Genomic DNA, 14,601 nt, shown 5'->3' with positions numbered 1-14,601 from the left:
TGAGCCGAGATCACGCCACTGCACTCCAGCCTGGGCAACAGAGTGAGACTCTGTCTCAAAAAAAAATAAAAATAAAAATAAAAATGTAGTGATGTACGCACTTTTATTTCTGACTGTAGGAATTTGAACTTTCTTTTCTTTTTTGCACTTGGATGTTCTGTACATGTATCCCAGAACTTAGAGTCTAAACAAAAAAAAGAAACATGCAGTCTACCAACTGTGAGTCAAGAGGAAGGAAACAACAGACCTGGAACTGGTAAGAAGACTGAATCAATAATCAAAAACTTGTCGATAAAGAAGAGCCCTTCAGCAGGGACACAGGCCACATGGACCTGTCCTGCCTGGCCCCTGAGGCTGCATTTACCCACCTGCCCCTAGAAGGTGGGCCATCAGGGTAACTAGAAGCTGCTAGCCATCAGTTTGCACAGTGAGGCCCCTCCGAGCCCCTTCCATCAGACCTGCTGTGAGCAACAACCTGTGGCTGTGGCTGTGGCTGTGACTGGCAGAGGTGTCTGGGGTGGGGCCAAAGTAGTCCCTTGGAGCCCTCACACACTATTGATGGGAATGTAAATTAGTACAACCACTATGGAGAACAGTGTGAAGACTCCTCAAAAAACTACAATTGGGGCCACCATGTGATCCAGCAATCCCACTGTTGGGCATATATCCAAAAGAAAGAAAATCACTATATTGAAGAGATATTTGCACTCTCGTATTTATTGCAGCACTAGTCACAATAGCCAAGATGTGGAAGCAACCTAAGTGTCCATCAACGAATGAATGGATAAAGCAAATGTGATGTATATGCACAATGGAATACTATTCAGGCATAAAAAAGGAGATCATGTCATTTGCAACAACATGGATGGAAATGAAGATTATTATGTCAAGTGAAATAAGCTAGTCACAGAAAGACAAACATCACATGTTCTCACTTATTTGTGGGATCTAAAAATCAAAACAGTTGAACTCATGGACATAGGAAACAGAAGGATGGTTATGAGAGGCTGGGGAGGGTATTGTGGAGCTGGGAGGGAGGTGAGGATGGTTAATGGGTACAAAAAAACAGAATGAATAAAACATACTATTTGATAGCACAACAGGGTGACTACAGTCAATATTAATTGTACATTAAAAAACAAACAAACACAAAGTTGCCCCTTGGCTTTGCTGCTTTGGGGGAGAGTTGCACAAATTGGACTAGTGGCCCAGCTCCCTGGGCGATCATCCTGTGCTGGCCAGGGTATGCCAACCTTATCTGTCTGGAAGTTCGGGGTGGCAGGACTCTGACCCTGCCCCTGGTAAGGGGCTTCCCCAACCAGTGCCATTGAAGGGGGCACCCTGGGTGTGAGCCTGAAAGCTCCAGCTCTCTGTCTTGCCATGTGAATGTGTTCTTTGGGCCACAAGCCCCCACCTCGCTCCTGCCTCACTCCTGGGAACAACGAAGGTGGACAATTGCTCTAGGGGCTGCAGAGAGAAAGCTAAGTGGACTGAGTAGGGGCCTGTGAAGGGGGCAGGAGGATAGACTTTCAAAGGGTAAGGAGTGGGCAGCTTAAGGTTGCAATGGCAGAGGGAGCTCTGACCCAGGACCTGAACTGCAGCCAGCTCTTGGGGTGTGGACCACCCAGCTCTGCAGCTGACCCCTCCACTGACCAAACGGGAGAGGAGTGAGCGTTCTCCCCTGTGCATATTGTTTAGCCTTCGCTAAAGGGGTGAAGAGAAGTGTGAGTCTCCTGGGTCAGGGGAGGCTGCCTTTTCTAGTGCTCGTGACTTTTTTTTTTTTTTGCCCTGTCACCCAGGCTGGAGTGCAATGGCACGATCTCAGCTCACTGCAAACTTCGCCTCCTGGGTTCAAACGATTCTCCTGCCTAAGCCTCCTGACTAGCTGGGATTACAGGAGCCCGCCATCACACCCAGCTAATTTTTGTATTTTTAGCAGAGACGGGGTTTCACCATGTTGGCCAGGCTGGTGTCAAACTCCTGACTTCAGATTATCCACCCACCTTGGCCTCCCAAAGTGTTGGGATTACAGGCATGAGCCACTGTGCCCAGCCTCATGACTTCTTATTCCTGGTCCCATACCTGGATTTGTCTCCATCCGTTTTCCGATTTTTAATAGTTTGTTTTATCTTTTGGGTTTTTCATCTAACTCCTCTCGTAGACCTCATTGCTCAGAGTGCACTGTTAGGGCAAGGTTCTGCCACTGCCACCCTCCATGAGTAGATTTCTCCCTCCTGCCCTGGGGATATGGAGAGTGGCTTGTTTCTTTCCCTGTCTATCCTAGAAAGATGATTTGTGGGTTTTTGTTTTTGTTTTTGGTTTTGTTTTTTTTTTTTGTCACCAAAATGGCAGCTGGGTTGGTGTTGGGGGAATACAGCTGGCCTTGGGTGGAAGCACTCCTCCACCGTTTCTCCCTGGTTTCAACAGTGTTAGCATTTGTCCATGAAAATACAATCTTTTCTCTAAAGTGATAAGAGGTGACGGCTGGGGGGAGTGACTGCTGCTGCTGCCCCCAGCTCCTCCTTTCCCCTAGGCAGGTGTGGGGGAGATTCCTGTTGTGACTGAATGTAAGCACCCCCACCTCTGCTGCAGCCAATGTAGAGGAAGTGGGGCACCCTTCCTGTCTCTTTCTGCTCTTTACCTCCAGCTAAGAAGCTTTGGAATTAGGGGGCCCAGGGACCTGGAGAGGCCTTAACCCTGTGAGGAAGTATAGGGGGACCCCTCTCCCACCCTCATCCCCTTCTGAGAGTGGTCAATGTTTACAAGCCCCTGAGTCCCCCAGCCCAGGGACCCTGTTGCTTTCTTTCACTAGCCTCAATCTTCCTGGGCCTTCGCTGCTCCCCTGCCCTTCCTGGGGTTGGGGTCGGGGCAGGCATCGCCCTGTGTTCCCCTGTCTGCCTTGTACCCACAATCATCCCACCGCTCCACCCTGTGTGACTTCCCTTTCTTTTACCTACTCCTGTGAATACTCCCTTCTCCCAATAAAACTTGGTGTGTATTCTCAAAAAAATTGAAAAGCCCTTCACCAAATGACTCACTGGTGAATGGTACCCAACAATTAAGGAAGAATTAACACCAATCCACCTTAATCTCTTCCAAAAAAACTGAAGAGGAGGGAACACTTCTTAACTCATTACATGAGGCTTGCATGACCCTGATACCAAAAAGAGACAAAGACACTGCAAGAACAAAAAATACACAGCAGTGTCCTTTATCAATACTAATGCAAAAATAATCTACAAAATAGGTAACCTAATATAGCAGCATATTAAATTATACACCAAGAACATGGGGAATTTTTTCTCAGAATGCAGGGATAGTTCAACATATGAAAATCAGTCAATGTAGCATGCCACGTTAATAGAACAAAGGAAAAAAACACCTGGTGCAGAAAAAGCATTGACAAAATTCAGCCCTTTTTGGATAAAAAACAATCAACATGGAATATAAGAAAAATCCTTCAATATAATAAAGCCACATATGAAAACCCTATAGCTAATAGGTTAATTTTGTCATTAATAGCTAATAATGCTGAAAGACTAAAAGCTTTTCCCCTGAGATTATGATCTAGACCATGTGGTCTACTTTCATGACTTTAATAAAAAATTATGTGATTAGAACACTTAACATGAACTTTACCCCTTAACAAATTTTTCAGTGTACAAAACAGTACTTAATTGTAGGTACAATGGTGTACAGCAGATCTCTGCCACTGATTCATCTTGTTTAACTGGAACTTTCTGCCTGTTAATTAGCAACTCTCCATTTACCTCCCCACATGCTCACTGGCAACTACCATTCCACTCACGAATTCTATGTATTTGACCATTTGGGGTACCTCATATAAGTGGAATTACGCAATATTTGACCTCCTGTGACAGGTTATTTCACTGAGCATAATGTCCTCAAGGTTCATGCACATTGTTGCATATTGTAGAATATTCTGCCTTTCAAAGGCTGAATAATATTCCATGGATGCATATACCACATAGTCTTTATCCATGCATCCACTGATGGACATTAGGTTGTTTCTGTATCTTTTGTGAATAGTACTTATGAACATGGGTGTGCAGATATATCTTTTTGCGATGCCAATTTCAATTTTTTTGGATACATGCCCAGAAATGGAATTGCTAGATCACTTGCAATTTTTAACTTTTTGAAGAAGCTTCATACCGTTTTCCATAGGAGCTGCACCATTTTGCACCCTCAACAACAGTGTACAAGGGTTCCAATTTCTCCACATCCTTGATACTTGTCTTTTTTTTCTTTTTTTTATAATAGCTATCCTGACAGGTGTGAGGGGATATTTCATACTGGTTTTGATCTGCATTTTCCCGACGATTAGTGACGTTGAACAATTTTTCATATACCTCTTGGCTATTGGTTTGTGTTTTTTTGAGAAATGTCTAAGTCTTTAGCCCATTTTAATTGGCTTATTAGTTTTTTTGTTTTTGCCATTGAGTTGTGGGGGGTTATTTTATATTTTGGAATCAACCATACTTCCTCTATTCAACATAGCATTGGAAGTCCCAGCCAGAATAAGTGGGTAAGAAATAGAAATAATTAAAAGGCATTCTAATTGGAAAAGAAGTAAGATCATCTCTATTCACAGATGACATGAGATCAGGAGTTCAGGACCAGCCTGGCCAACATGACACAACCCCATCTCCACTAAAAATACAAAAATTAGCTGGAAATGGTGGTGCATGCCTGTAATCCCAGCAACTCGGGAGGCTGAGGCAGGAGAAGAATCACTTGAACCTGCGAGGTGGGGGCTGCAGTGAGTGGAGATTGTACCACCACCCTCCAGCCTGGGCAACAGAGCAAGACTCTGTCTCACAAATAAAATAAAGAATACATAAAGAAAACCTTAGCTGGGCGAGGTGGCTCACACCTGTAATCCCAGCACTTTGGGAGGCCAAGGCGGGAGAATTACCTGCGGTCAGGAGTTCAAGACCAGCCTGGTCAATATGGTGAAACCCCATCCATCTCTGCTAAAAATACAAAAAATAGCCGGGCATGGTGGTGTGTTTCTGTAATCCCAGCTACTCGGGAGGCTGAGGCAGGAGAATCGCTTGAACCCAGGAAATGGAGGTTGCAGTGAGCCAAGATTGTGCCATTGCACTCCAGCCTGGGCAACAAGAGTGAAACTCTGTCTCAAAAAAAAAAATTAAAAAAAAAAGAAAACCTTGCTGGGTTCAGTGGCTCATGCCTGTAATCCCAGCACTTTGAGAGGCTGAGACAAGGAATTACTTGAGCCCAGGTGTTCAAGACCAGCCTGGACAACATGGTAAGACCCCCACCTCTAAAAAAATGAAGTTAGCCAGGCATGGGTGGCATGTGCCTGTGGTCCCAGCTATGGTGGAGGCTGAGATGGGAGGATCACTTGAGCCCAGGAGGTTGAGGCTGCACTGAGCCATGCTTACCTCACTGCACTCCAGCCTGGGTGACAGAATGAGACCCTGTCTCTGAGAAATAAAAAGGAAATTCTACAATTCAACAGCAACAAAAATACAACATAAGGCTATTCTGGGTACACTGCCAATGAGGTAGTCCTGCTCCACAAGGAGCAGTGTAAAAAAGAATACAACATAATTTTTAAATGGATGAAGAAGTTGAATATATCTCTCTCCAAGAAGATGCACAAATGGCTATAAGCACATGAAAAAATCAACACTACTAGTGATTGTGTTAGAAGTGTAAATCAAAACTATATTGTGATACCCACTTGATACCTACTAGCCTGTCTATAATTAAAACATAAATGACAAGTATTGAAGAGGATATGGAGAAATTAACTCTCCTATGCACTGTGGAAAGAATGTAAAATAGTGCAGCTGCTGTGAACAACAGTTTGGCAGTTCTACAAAAAGTTAAACACAGAATTATCACATGCAATTCCACTTCTACATATAGACTCAAAAGAATTGAAAGTAGGGATTCAAACAGATCCTTGCACACCAGTGTTCTCAGCAGCATTATTTATAATAGCCAAGTATAGAAAGAACCTGAATGCCCATCAACAGTTGAATGGATAAACAAAATGTGGTATATATGAGTATTGGAATATTATTCAGCCTTAAAAAGGAAGGAAATTCTGATACATGCTACAATATGGATGAACCTTGAAAATGTCATACTAAGTGAAATAAACCAAAGAGGAAAATATTGTATGATTTCATTTGTATGAGGTACCTAGAATAGGCAAATTTATATAGTAAGAAAGAATAACAGAGGTTACCAGGGCCTGGAGAGAGGGAGGGATGGGGAGTTAGTTTTTAGTGGGTACATACTTCTGTTTGGAGATGATGAAAAAGTTCTGGAAATGGATAGTGGTAATGGCTGCATAACACTGTAAATGTACTTAATGCCAATGAATTGTACACTTAAAAGGGATTAAAATGGTAAATTTTATGCTATGTATGCTTTGCCACAATAAAAAATGAAGTATAAAAGAAGAATTTCTGGGCTTTCCGTTTTTTCATGTGTGTTTTTGGTTTTGTTTTTTTGTTGTTGTTTTTTTTGTTTGTTTTTGAGACAGGATCTTGCTCAGTTGCCCAGGCTAGAGTGCAGCGGCGTGATCATGGCTCACTATAGCTTTGACCTCCCAGTCACAGGTGATCCTCCCTCTTCAGCCTCCCAAGTAGCTGGGACCATACGTGTGCATCACCACACTCAGCTAATTTTTATAGAGACAAAGACTCCCTATGTTGCCCAAGCTGGTCTTGAACTCCTGGCCTCAAGTGATGCTCTCTCCTTGGCCTCCCAAAGTGCTGGGATTACAGGTGTCAGCCACCGCATAGGCTTTACTTCTAACTTCTTCTTGGCTGTAGTCCAGGAGTCTTGTTTCCTGAGTCCTCATGATCCCCATCACATGCTTCCAGGTTGATTCACTCTTTGTACAACCCTCTGACCCAGCGCTCTCCACAGCTCTGCCCTCAACTCACCACATATGGTGCTTGAAGAGCCACTTCCTTTCCTATACAGGCCACCAATGTCTTTTTGTGGCACATGAAACCCACTTCAGAGAAATGTGGGACTTTGGAATCCACGAAAGGCATAATTCACTTCACTGTCAAGGGATATAGCTCATTGGTCAGAAACTGTATCTGTTCTCTGAAGGACCATTGCATTCGGTCCCTCCTGGCTGGTTTCTGGTACCTTCTAGTCTGTCCTTCTCCCCTCCTTGTCTGTCTTCATTTCTCTCAAATCCCCCCTCCACCTGGGCAAATCTCTTTAAAGACCCTGTCTTTGCACTCAGAGAACGCCCCATGCTCCACCTCAAATTCTCCCCTCATTTCTGGCCCTGCATCCCTCATTCTCACACTCTACCTAGGCTAGCACTCACTGGTGGAGGGCTGGGGTGCCACAGCTTTGGAGAAGAGGTTTAAAGGTCTCCATATCCAGGAGCTGGCTCTGATATCTCGCCCCACCTGCCTGAGGCTGATCATTAACCCAGAACTTATATAAAGATGGCTCATGCGTGGAATGGGTATAGCACTGCCTGCAGCCATGGCCAGTACGGTTAGCCCCAGCACCATAGCTGAGACCCCAGAGCCACCTCCATTGTCTGACCACATCCGAAATGCTGCTGACATCTCAGTCATTGTCATCTATTTTCTGGTGGTGATGGCTGTTGGGCTGTGGGTAGGTGGAATCCCAGTGGCTTTTAGGGTGGGCACAAGGTTTAGGAGGGGGTATCTTAAGGGGGGAAGGGGTGTGGTTGTGACAAAGCTTTTCACAAATGTCATTGTGTTATCAGAATCATTTTCTTGTGTGTTGCATAAATAACGCTTACAATGAACTAATGTATTCTCCTAATAACCCCATCGTGTGCACACAGCCAGCACCGGGACCTTCAGATTTACTATGCATCCCCAACACCTGGCATAATGGACAAAGAGTGTATTTTTATTATCGCATTTCTTTCGCTTTCTTTTGTTGTTTGCTCACTTTCTGATTTAGTGAGTTGGACTCTTCATTTATGTTGAATTTTTTTATTTTAATAAATTTGAGACTGCAAATTTTTTTTTTTTTTGAGACGGAGTCTTGCTCTGTCGTCCAGGCTGGAGTGCAGTGGCGCTTGCTTGGCTCACTGCAAGCTCCGCCTCCTGGGTTCACGCCATTCTCCTGCCTCAGCCTCCCAAGTAGCTGGGACTACAGGCATGCGCCACCACGCCCGGCTAACTTTTTGTATTTTTAGTAGAGACGGGGTTTCACCATGTTGGCCAGGATGGTCTCGATCTCTTGACCTTGTGATCCACCCGCCTCGGCCCTCCAAAGTGCTGGAATTACAGGCGTGAGCCACCGTGCCCGGCCGAGACTGCAAATTTTATTGCAAGCATGGCTCAATGATACCTCACATGGTTTTCATAAGTGAGAATAATCAGAGCAGTTAAGATAGAAGTTAAGGATTATGATTTTTTTAAGTTCTTCCAGCCCTGGGTTTTTACAAAGCGACTGTTTTTGAAGTCCTTTAAAATTTGATGCTATAGAACACTTTCCAGCGAAATGTTTCTCTCTGTAGGAGTGCTGAAGTCACCCCTCTCAGCACCCTGGCCAGAGCCTCTGGGGTGTCTGGGTGCACTTGCTGGGGCTTGACCCTCACCTGTCTTCCCTTCTGCTCAGGCGATGCTGAAGACCAACCGAGGTACTATAGGAGGCTTCTTCCTCGCTGGTCGTGATATGGCCTGGTGGCCGGTAAGTGGATCGAAGTTTTCTGGAGATAAATTTCCTGTGTGTGTGCTTAAAACTGAATGTAGGCTGGGTGCGGTGTCTCACGCCTGTAATCCCAGCACTTTGGGAGGCCAAGGCTGGCAGATCATCTGAGGTCAGGAGTTCGAGACCAGCCTGACTAACATGGTGAAACCATCTCTACTAAAAATACAAAAATTAGCTGGACGTGGTGGTGTGTATGCCTGTAATCCCAGCTACTCAGGAGGCTGAGGCAGGATAATCACTTGAACCTGGGAGGCAGAGGTTGCAGTGAGCCTAGATCACACCACTGCACTCCAGCCTGGGCAACAAGAATGAAACTCCATCTCAAAAAAAAAAAAGTGAATGTAGACAACATTGGGAATGTTGATCATTTCTGATGTACATTGGTTGCCTACTCGCTGGGGCTCCTTTCCTAAATCCCCGACTTCATGGCTCCTCTCTGTAATTCCAGGACATTACAATATGTCACCTATTATGACAGCCGGTTCAGTCTGGCACTGAAGGACCCCAGCTCAGCCCCACCTTATATTCTTTTCTTCTGCTCCTTATCAAGAGTCTTCTCCTGGCTTCTTACAAGCTCTGCGCATTCCTGCTTTGTTGCCAGTCCTGAGCTGATGCTGGCCCTCTTGTTAGGATTGGCCTCCCCTTGTCTGCTGTCCTCTTTCAATGCCTCACCTCAGCCCTTTCTCATCTGAGGAGCCTCCCGGCTCTCTCCATGGGTCCCTATGTCCCATGCAGTTATTGGTTGTGTTCCCTGTGATGGTGCTAATGCTGATGCCTCTTGATTCTTGCCCAGTGGGTGTTCTTGTGGGGTTTTGATGTGTGACCCCCTCAGCCAGGGTCCCACTGCAGCAGAGGCTGTATCTTCCCCTCTGCACCTGGAGAGTGTCAGCCCAGCATCACATTATACAGTGGGTGCTTAGCAAATGCTTCCTTCACAGATCTGACTCATTTTCTAAATGGTATGAGGGGAAGTGGAGATGGGCAACTGTCCTGGCTGGGGTGACTGAAGCAGAACAACTGGAAGTTTGAAATGAATTTTATTTGGGACATCCAATCAGACATTGCATTTTTAGGACTGTTTAGTGAAACATGCAAGGAGGCTCAAGCGATCTTGAAGCCAAAAACCAGCTCAATCCCATCCTCTGGCCCCATGTAGCTGAGCAGAAAAAGTGATTTTACAGAGGCCTTAAAAAGTGGGAAGAGCCACACCCCAATTCTCTTCTGCTAGGACTGGTGCTCATCTACGTCCACTCAAGAGACCTCTCTTGGTCTCTGGGTCTTTAGAACAGCAGACACTGTAATGGCGAGGGGATGAATGAAAAGAGTGTCCTGTGGCTGGGAGGATGGAGAGAAACTCCCTCCTAGCCAGCTTGGGGTCTTTGCATATGATTAAAGGGAGAAGAGCTGATGGGAGATCTGGCAGTGCTTGGCCAAGGACAGGCTCAACTCAGAGCATTTTAGTAGATTGACCAATGCTCCCCCAAGACAGGGGCCAACGAGCTTTTCTGTAAAAGGCCAGATTGTAAATACTTTAGAGTTTTCTAGACATATAGTCTATTGCAGCCACAGAACCCCGCTGTTGTAGGACAAAAAGCAGCCCAAGTCCATATGGAAAACCAATGAGCACGGCTGTGTTCCAGACAATGAAATTTGAATCATACAATTTCACAAGTTTACAATTTCACATTTCACAAAATATTATGCTTACTTAGATTGTTTACCATTATTTAACAATGCAAAAATGTAAAAAAACATTCTTGGCTCGTGGGCCATTCAGAAACTGACTGTGGGCTGGATTAGCCCAGGGGCCATTGTTTGCTTGACTCCTGCTCTGAGGAGTAGTGACTGAAACATCTCAGCATCTGTCTATTTTCTTTTTTTTTTTTTTTTTGAGACAGAGTCTTGCTCTGTCACCCAGGCTGGAGTGCAGTGGCGCGATCTCCGCTCACTGCAGGCTCCACCCCCTGGGTTCATGCCATTCTCCTGCCTCAGCCTCCAGAGCAGCAGGGACTACAGGCGCCCACCACCACGCCCGGCTGATTTTTTTGTATTTTGAGTAAAGATGGGGTCTCACCGTGTTAGCCAGGATGGTCTTGATCTCCTGACCTTGTGATCCACCCGCCTCAGCCTCCCAAAGTGCTGGGATTACAGGCGTGAGCCACCACGCCCAGCTACATCTGTCTATTTTCAAGAAGTCTGATTTGGATCTTTTAACTCCAACCCTAGTCTGTTCTCTTGCATTCCAGATGGGCGCCTCTCTCTTTGCCAGTAACATCGGCAGCAACCACTATGTGGGGCTGGCTGGGACAGGAGCAGCTTCAGGAGTCGCCACCGTAACATTTGAATGGACTGTAAGTGACATCATAGGCTTTTTCCTTCAAATCAAAACCATATCCAGTGTCTTAGTATGTTTTATGCTGCTATGACAGAATATCACAGGCTGGATAATTTATAAAGAACAGAAATGTATCTCTGACAGCTCTGAAGGCTGGGAAGTGCAAGGGCTGAGGGACCCACATCTGGCAAGGGCTTCTTGCTTCATCGTCCCATGGTGGAAGGTGGAAGGTGGAAGGGCAATAGGGCACGAGAGAGAGAGAGAGAGAGAGAGAGGGATGGAGGATGAGAGAGAGAGAGAAAGAGACAGAGACAGAGACAGAAGAGAAAAGGGGAGGAGAGGGTGAAACTCATTTTTTAAAATCAGGAACCCACTCCTACTATAACTAACCCATTATCTCAATAATGGGATCCATCTGTTTATGAGGGAAGAGCCCTCATAACCTAATCACCCCTTAATGGTCTAACCTCTCAATACTGTTGCATTGGGGATTAAGTTTCCAACACATGAACTTGGTGGTACACGTTGAAACCATAGCATCCAGGTATATTAATGGAAGTCATATCCCAGGTTTTTCTGGGTGTCTGTATAGAATGTTCTCCTCTTTGGTTTTTTTTTTTTTTTTTTTTTTTTTTTGCTTATTTGTTTGTTGTTGTCTTCTTTGTCAATTTTAAGTTCTGGGATACATGTGCAGAACCTGCAGGTTTGTTACATAGGTATACATGTGTCATGGTGGTTTGCTGCACCTGTGAACCCATCATCTAGGTTTTAAGCCATGCATGCATCAGGTATTTGTTCTAATGCTCTCCCTCTCCTTGCCCCTCACCCCCTGACAGGCCCCAGTGTGTGATGTTCCCCTCCCTGTGTCCATGTGTTCTCATTGTTCAACTCCTACTTATGAATGAGAACATGTGGTGTTTGATTTCCTGTTCCTGGGTTAGTTTGCTGAGAATGAGGGCTTTCCAGCTTCATCCATGTCCCTGCAAAGGACATGAACTCATCCTTTTTTATGGCTGTGTAGTATTCTATGGTATATATGTGCCACATTTTCTTTATCCAGTCTATCATTGTTGAGCATTTGGGTTGATTCCAAGTATTTGCTATTGTAAATAGTGCTGCAATAAACATACATGTGCATGTGTGTTTATAGTAGAATGATTTATAATCCTTTGGGTATATACCCAGTAATGGGATTGATGGGTCAAATGGTATTTCTGGTTCTAGATCCTTGAGGAATCACCACACTGCCTTCCACAATGTTTGAACTAATTTGCACTCCCACAGCCTTGCTCTGTTCCCCAGGCTGGAGTGCAGTAGCAGGATCATGGCTCACTGACCTCCTGGGCTCAAGCAATCCTCCCACCACAGCCTCCCATGTAGCTGGGACCACAGGTGTGCACCACCATGCCCAGCTAGGTTTTTGGTTTTTTGTAGATATGGGGTTCTCCCTATGTTGCCCAGGCTGGTCTCTTAACTCCTGAGGTCTGTAAGCCTCTCACCTCAGCCTCCCAAAATGCTGGGATCACAGGTGTGAGTCACTGCACCCAGCCTCCACCTCTTGTTTGACCTTCAGCACTTCTGTGGTCCCATTCTGCCTGGCCCATTCCATGCACATCACTGCTCACCTCTAAGATTTTTCTCAAGCAGTTATTCCCACCAGGAATGTCATTTCTATATGCCTCAATCCCTATGTTCACTTGAGCATTTTAGCTCTCCCTTTCATCTCTCCTCCCTGAGTCCCCACTATGTGTCCAGCCCATCCTTTAGCACAGGGGTGTCCAATCTTTTGACTGCCCTGGACCACACTAGAAGAAGAAGAATTATCTTGGACCACACATAAAATACACTAAGAATAGCTGATGACCTAAAAAAAAAATCACCAAAAAACCTTATTATTTTTTAAGAAAGTTTACAAATTTGTGTTGGGCCACATTCAAAGCCAGCTTGGGCCACAGGTTGGACAAGTTTGCTCTAGCACAAGGCTGGACATGTGATGGATGTGCCACCAACAGCTTTTGAGTTGCCTGAGTTTTTCTGTTCTTTTGTCTTACTCTTTCTGGTGTTTTCATGTACATGCATGTGCATATTCGGCAGAAGACGATGCCTGTGTAAAGGAAAGTTGGATCATAGTGAAAGTTTAAACAGACCATTCCCTGGTTGAACTCAGAAAGTGACCTTGAGAGATCACACATACCTGTGCCCCTCCCCTGCTGAAGATTTTGCCCCTACATTTACTTCAGTAGTATCCAGGAGTCCAGGATGGACCCAGCCTCCAGATATGCCCTATGGCTGGAGCTTTGTTTTAATAGTGCCATGGACACCAGAATGAAGCCAGTCTCCAGAGGCATGGCCAGAATGACCTATGGACCAAGTGGGTGTGATGAGCAGGCTGCAGAGAACTGAGCTGCTCCCCCTGTCACTGTGACCTTGGGCCCCCTTAATCTCTGTAAGGCTCAAGTTCCCCCTCTCTAAGATAAGAATAACTGTGCTTCTCATATCTGCCTCACTTAGGCTGAGAGCAGCGTAAGTGATCTATGTGAAGACTCTCTGTAAAAATTGCACATTAATGCTAGATTATATTATTATCGTCACTGTATGTGGGAAGACTTGGGGAGCACTGGTGATATTCTTCTATCTCCAGGTTCCTTTCTCATTGCTTTGTCACTCCATTTATCATTTATGCAATTCAAGAAAAATTCCCTTTGGCAAAGATTGTATGACCTTCCAGGGGTTCCACTGGGATCAGATCCCTTATCTTCTTTCCCTTTTTCACCACAATTTAATCCTCAGAAAATGGTGGCCCCTGAGTCATAGAAACAGAAAAAAAGGAACTCACAATTGTCTTGGGATTATAGTTGTTTGAATGGGACAGGATTGAGCCAACTTTTTTTTTTAATTTCCAGACTCAGAGGTCATAGAAGGAGAAGGTCCACAAGCCAAGCCTCTTTAATGTCTCACTGTCTCTTATTTTGGTTCCTTGTAGTCCTCAGTAATGTTGCTGATTCTTGGGTGGATCTTTGTCCCTATCTACATCAAGTCGGGGGTGAGTATCTGTTACCAAAATGCCAGAGTTCAGTTCTAGGCACTGCTGCTCACTGCACAGAAGATCAATCACTGAGACAATGAGTATTGCCAGGAAAAAAGGCTTTATTTAGGTGCCACAGCAGAGGAGATGGGAGCTCAGTCTCAAATCCATCTTCCTGATGGACTAAAATTAGGGGTTTATATAACAGGGAAGATATGTAACCATGTGTGGGAAAACAGGAATTAGGGGTGGGGATAAGGAAGAGAAGTCGGTCAACAGGAAGCTGGTGGTGGGTTAGACAATTATAATGGGCAAGGGGTCTGGCTTCTCATTGTCCAGGTGTGTTGATCTAGTGAGTTTCAGCTCTTTGACCCTATCTGGGAGAACTGATGGTTGATTTCCTGAGAGAGGAACTCAGATAAGACAAAGGTAACTTTCTCAAGTTGTAACACTGGGAGGATCAGTTTCTATGCTTATTCAAATAAACCACAGACATCAGTTCTATGGGACAACTGGG

The 14,601-nt window shown here is 45.1% G+C and overlaps 1 protein-coding gene and 1 long non-coding RNA gene across 7 annotated transcripts in view; one reads left to right on the top strand and one right to left on the bottom strand.

The window, feature by feature from the left end:
• SLC5A4-AS1 (SLC5A4 antisense RNA 1) overlaps positions 1 to 14,601 on the bottom strand; it is a 68,501-nt gene that overhangs the window by 10,771 nt on the left and 43,129 nt on the right. The window lies entirely within an intron of this gene.
• The window catches only part of SLC5A4 (solute carrier family 5 member 4), a 136,600-nt gene that overhangs the window by 92,219 nt on the left and 29,780 nt on the right, over positions 1 to 14,601 (top strand). For 4 of the 6 annotated variants that reach the window (XM_017028920.2, XM_006724308.4, XM_011530342.3 and 1 more), the window contains 3 exons: positions 8,632 to 8,703; positions 10,971 to 11,075; positions 14,043 to 14,102. In XM_017028920.2, the coding sequence (XP_016884409.1) occupies positions 8,632 to 8,703; positions 10,971 to 11,075; positions 14,043 to 14,102 (237 nt within the window). Of the gene's footprint in view, positions 1 to 7,497; positions 7,651 to 8,631; positions 8,704 to 10,950; positions 11,076 to 14,042; positions 14,103 to 14,601 lie in introns of those variants that run through there. The other 2 variants (NM_014227.3, XM_011530344.3) reach the window with 2 other exon arrangements.

The sequence above is a fragment of the Homo sapiens genome, chromosome 22 (genome assembly GCF_000001405.40).
Source record: "Homo sapiens chromosome 22, GRCh38.p14 Primary Assembly".
In the NCBI taxonomy this organism is placed as follows: domain Eukaryota; kingdom Metazoa; phylum Chordata; class Mammalia; order Primates; family Hominidae; genus Homo; species Homo sapiens.
Note: the sequence above shows the minus strand (reverse complement) of the source record. Positions and strands in the feature narration are given on the sequence as shown.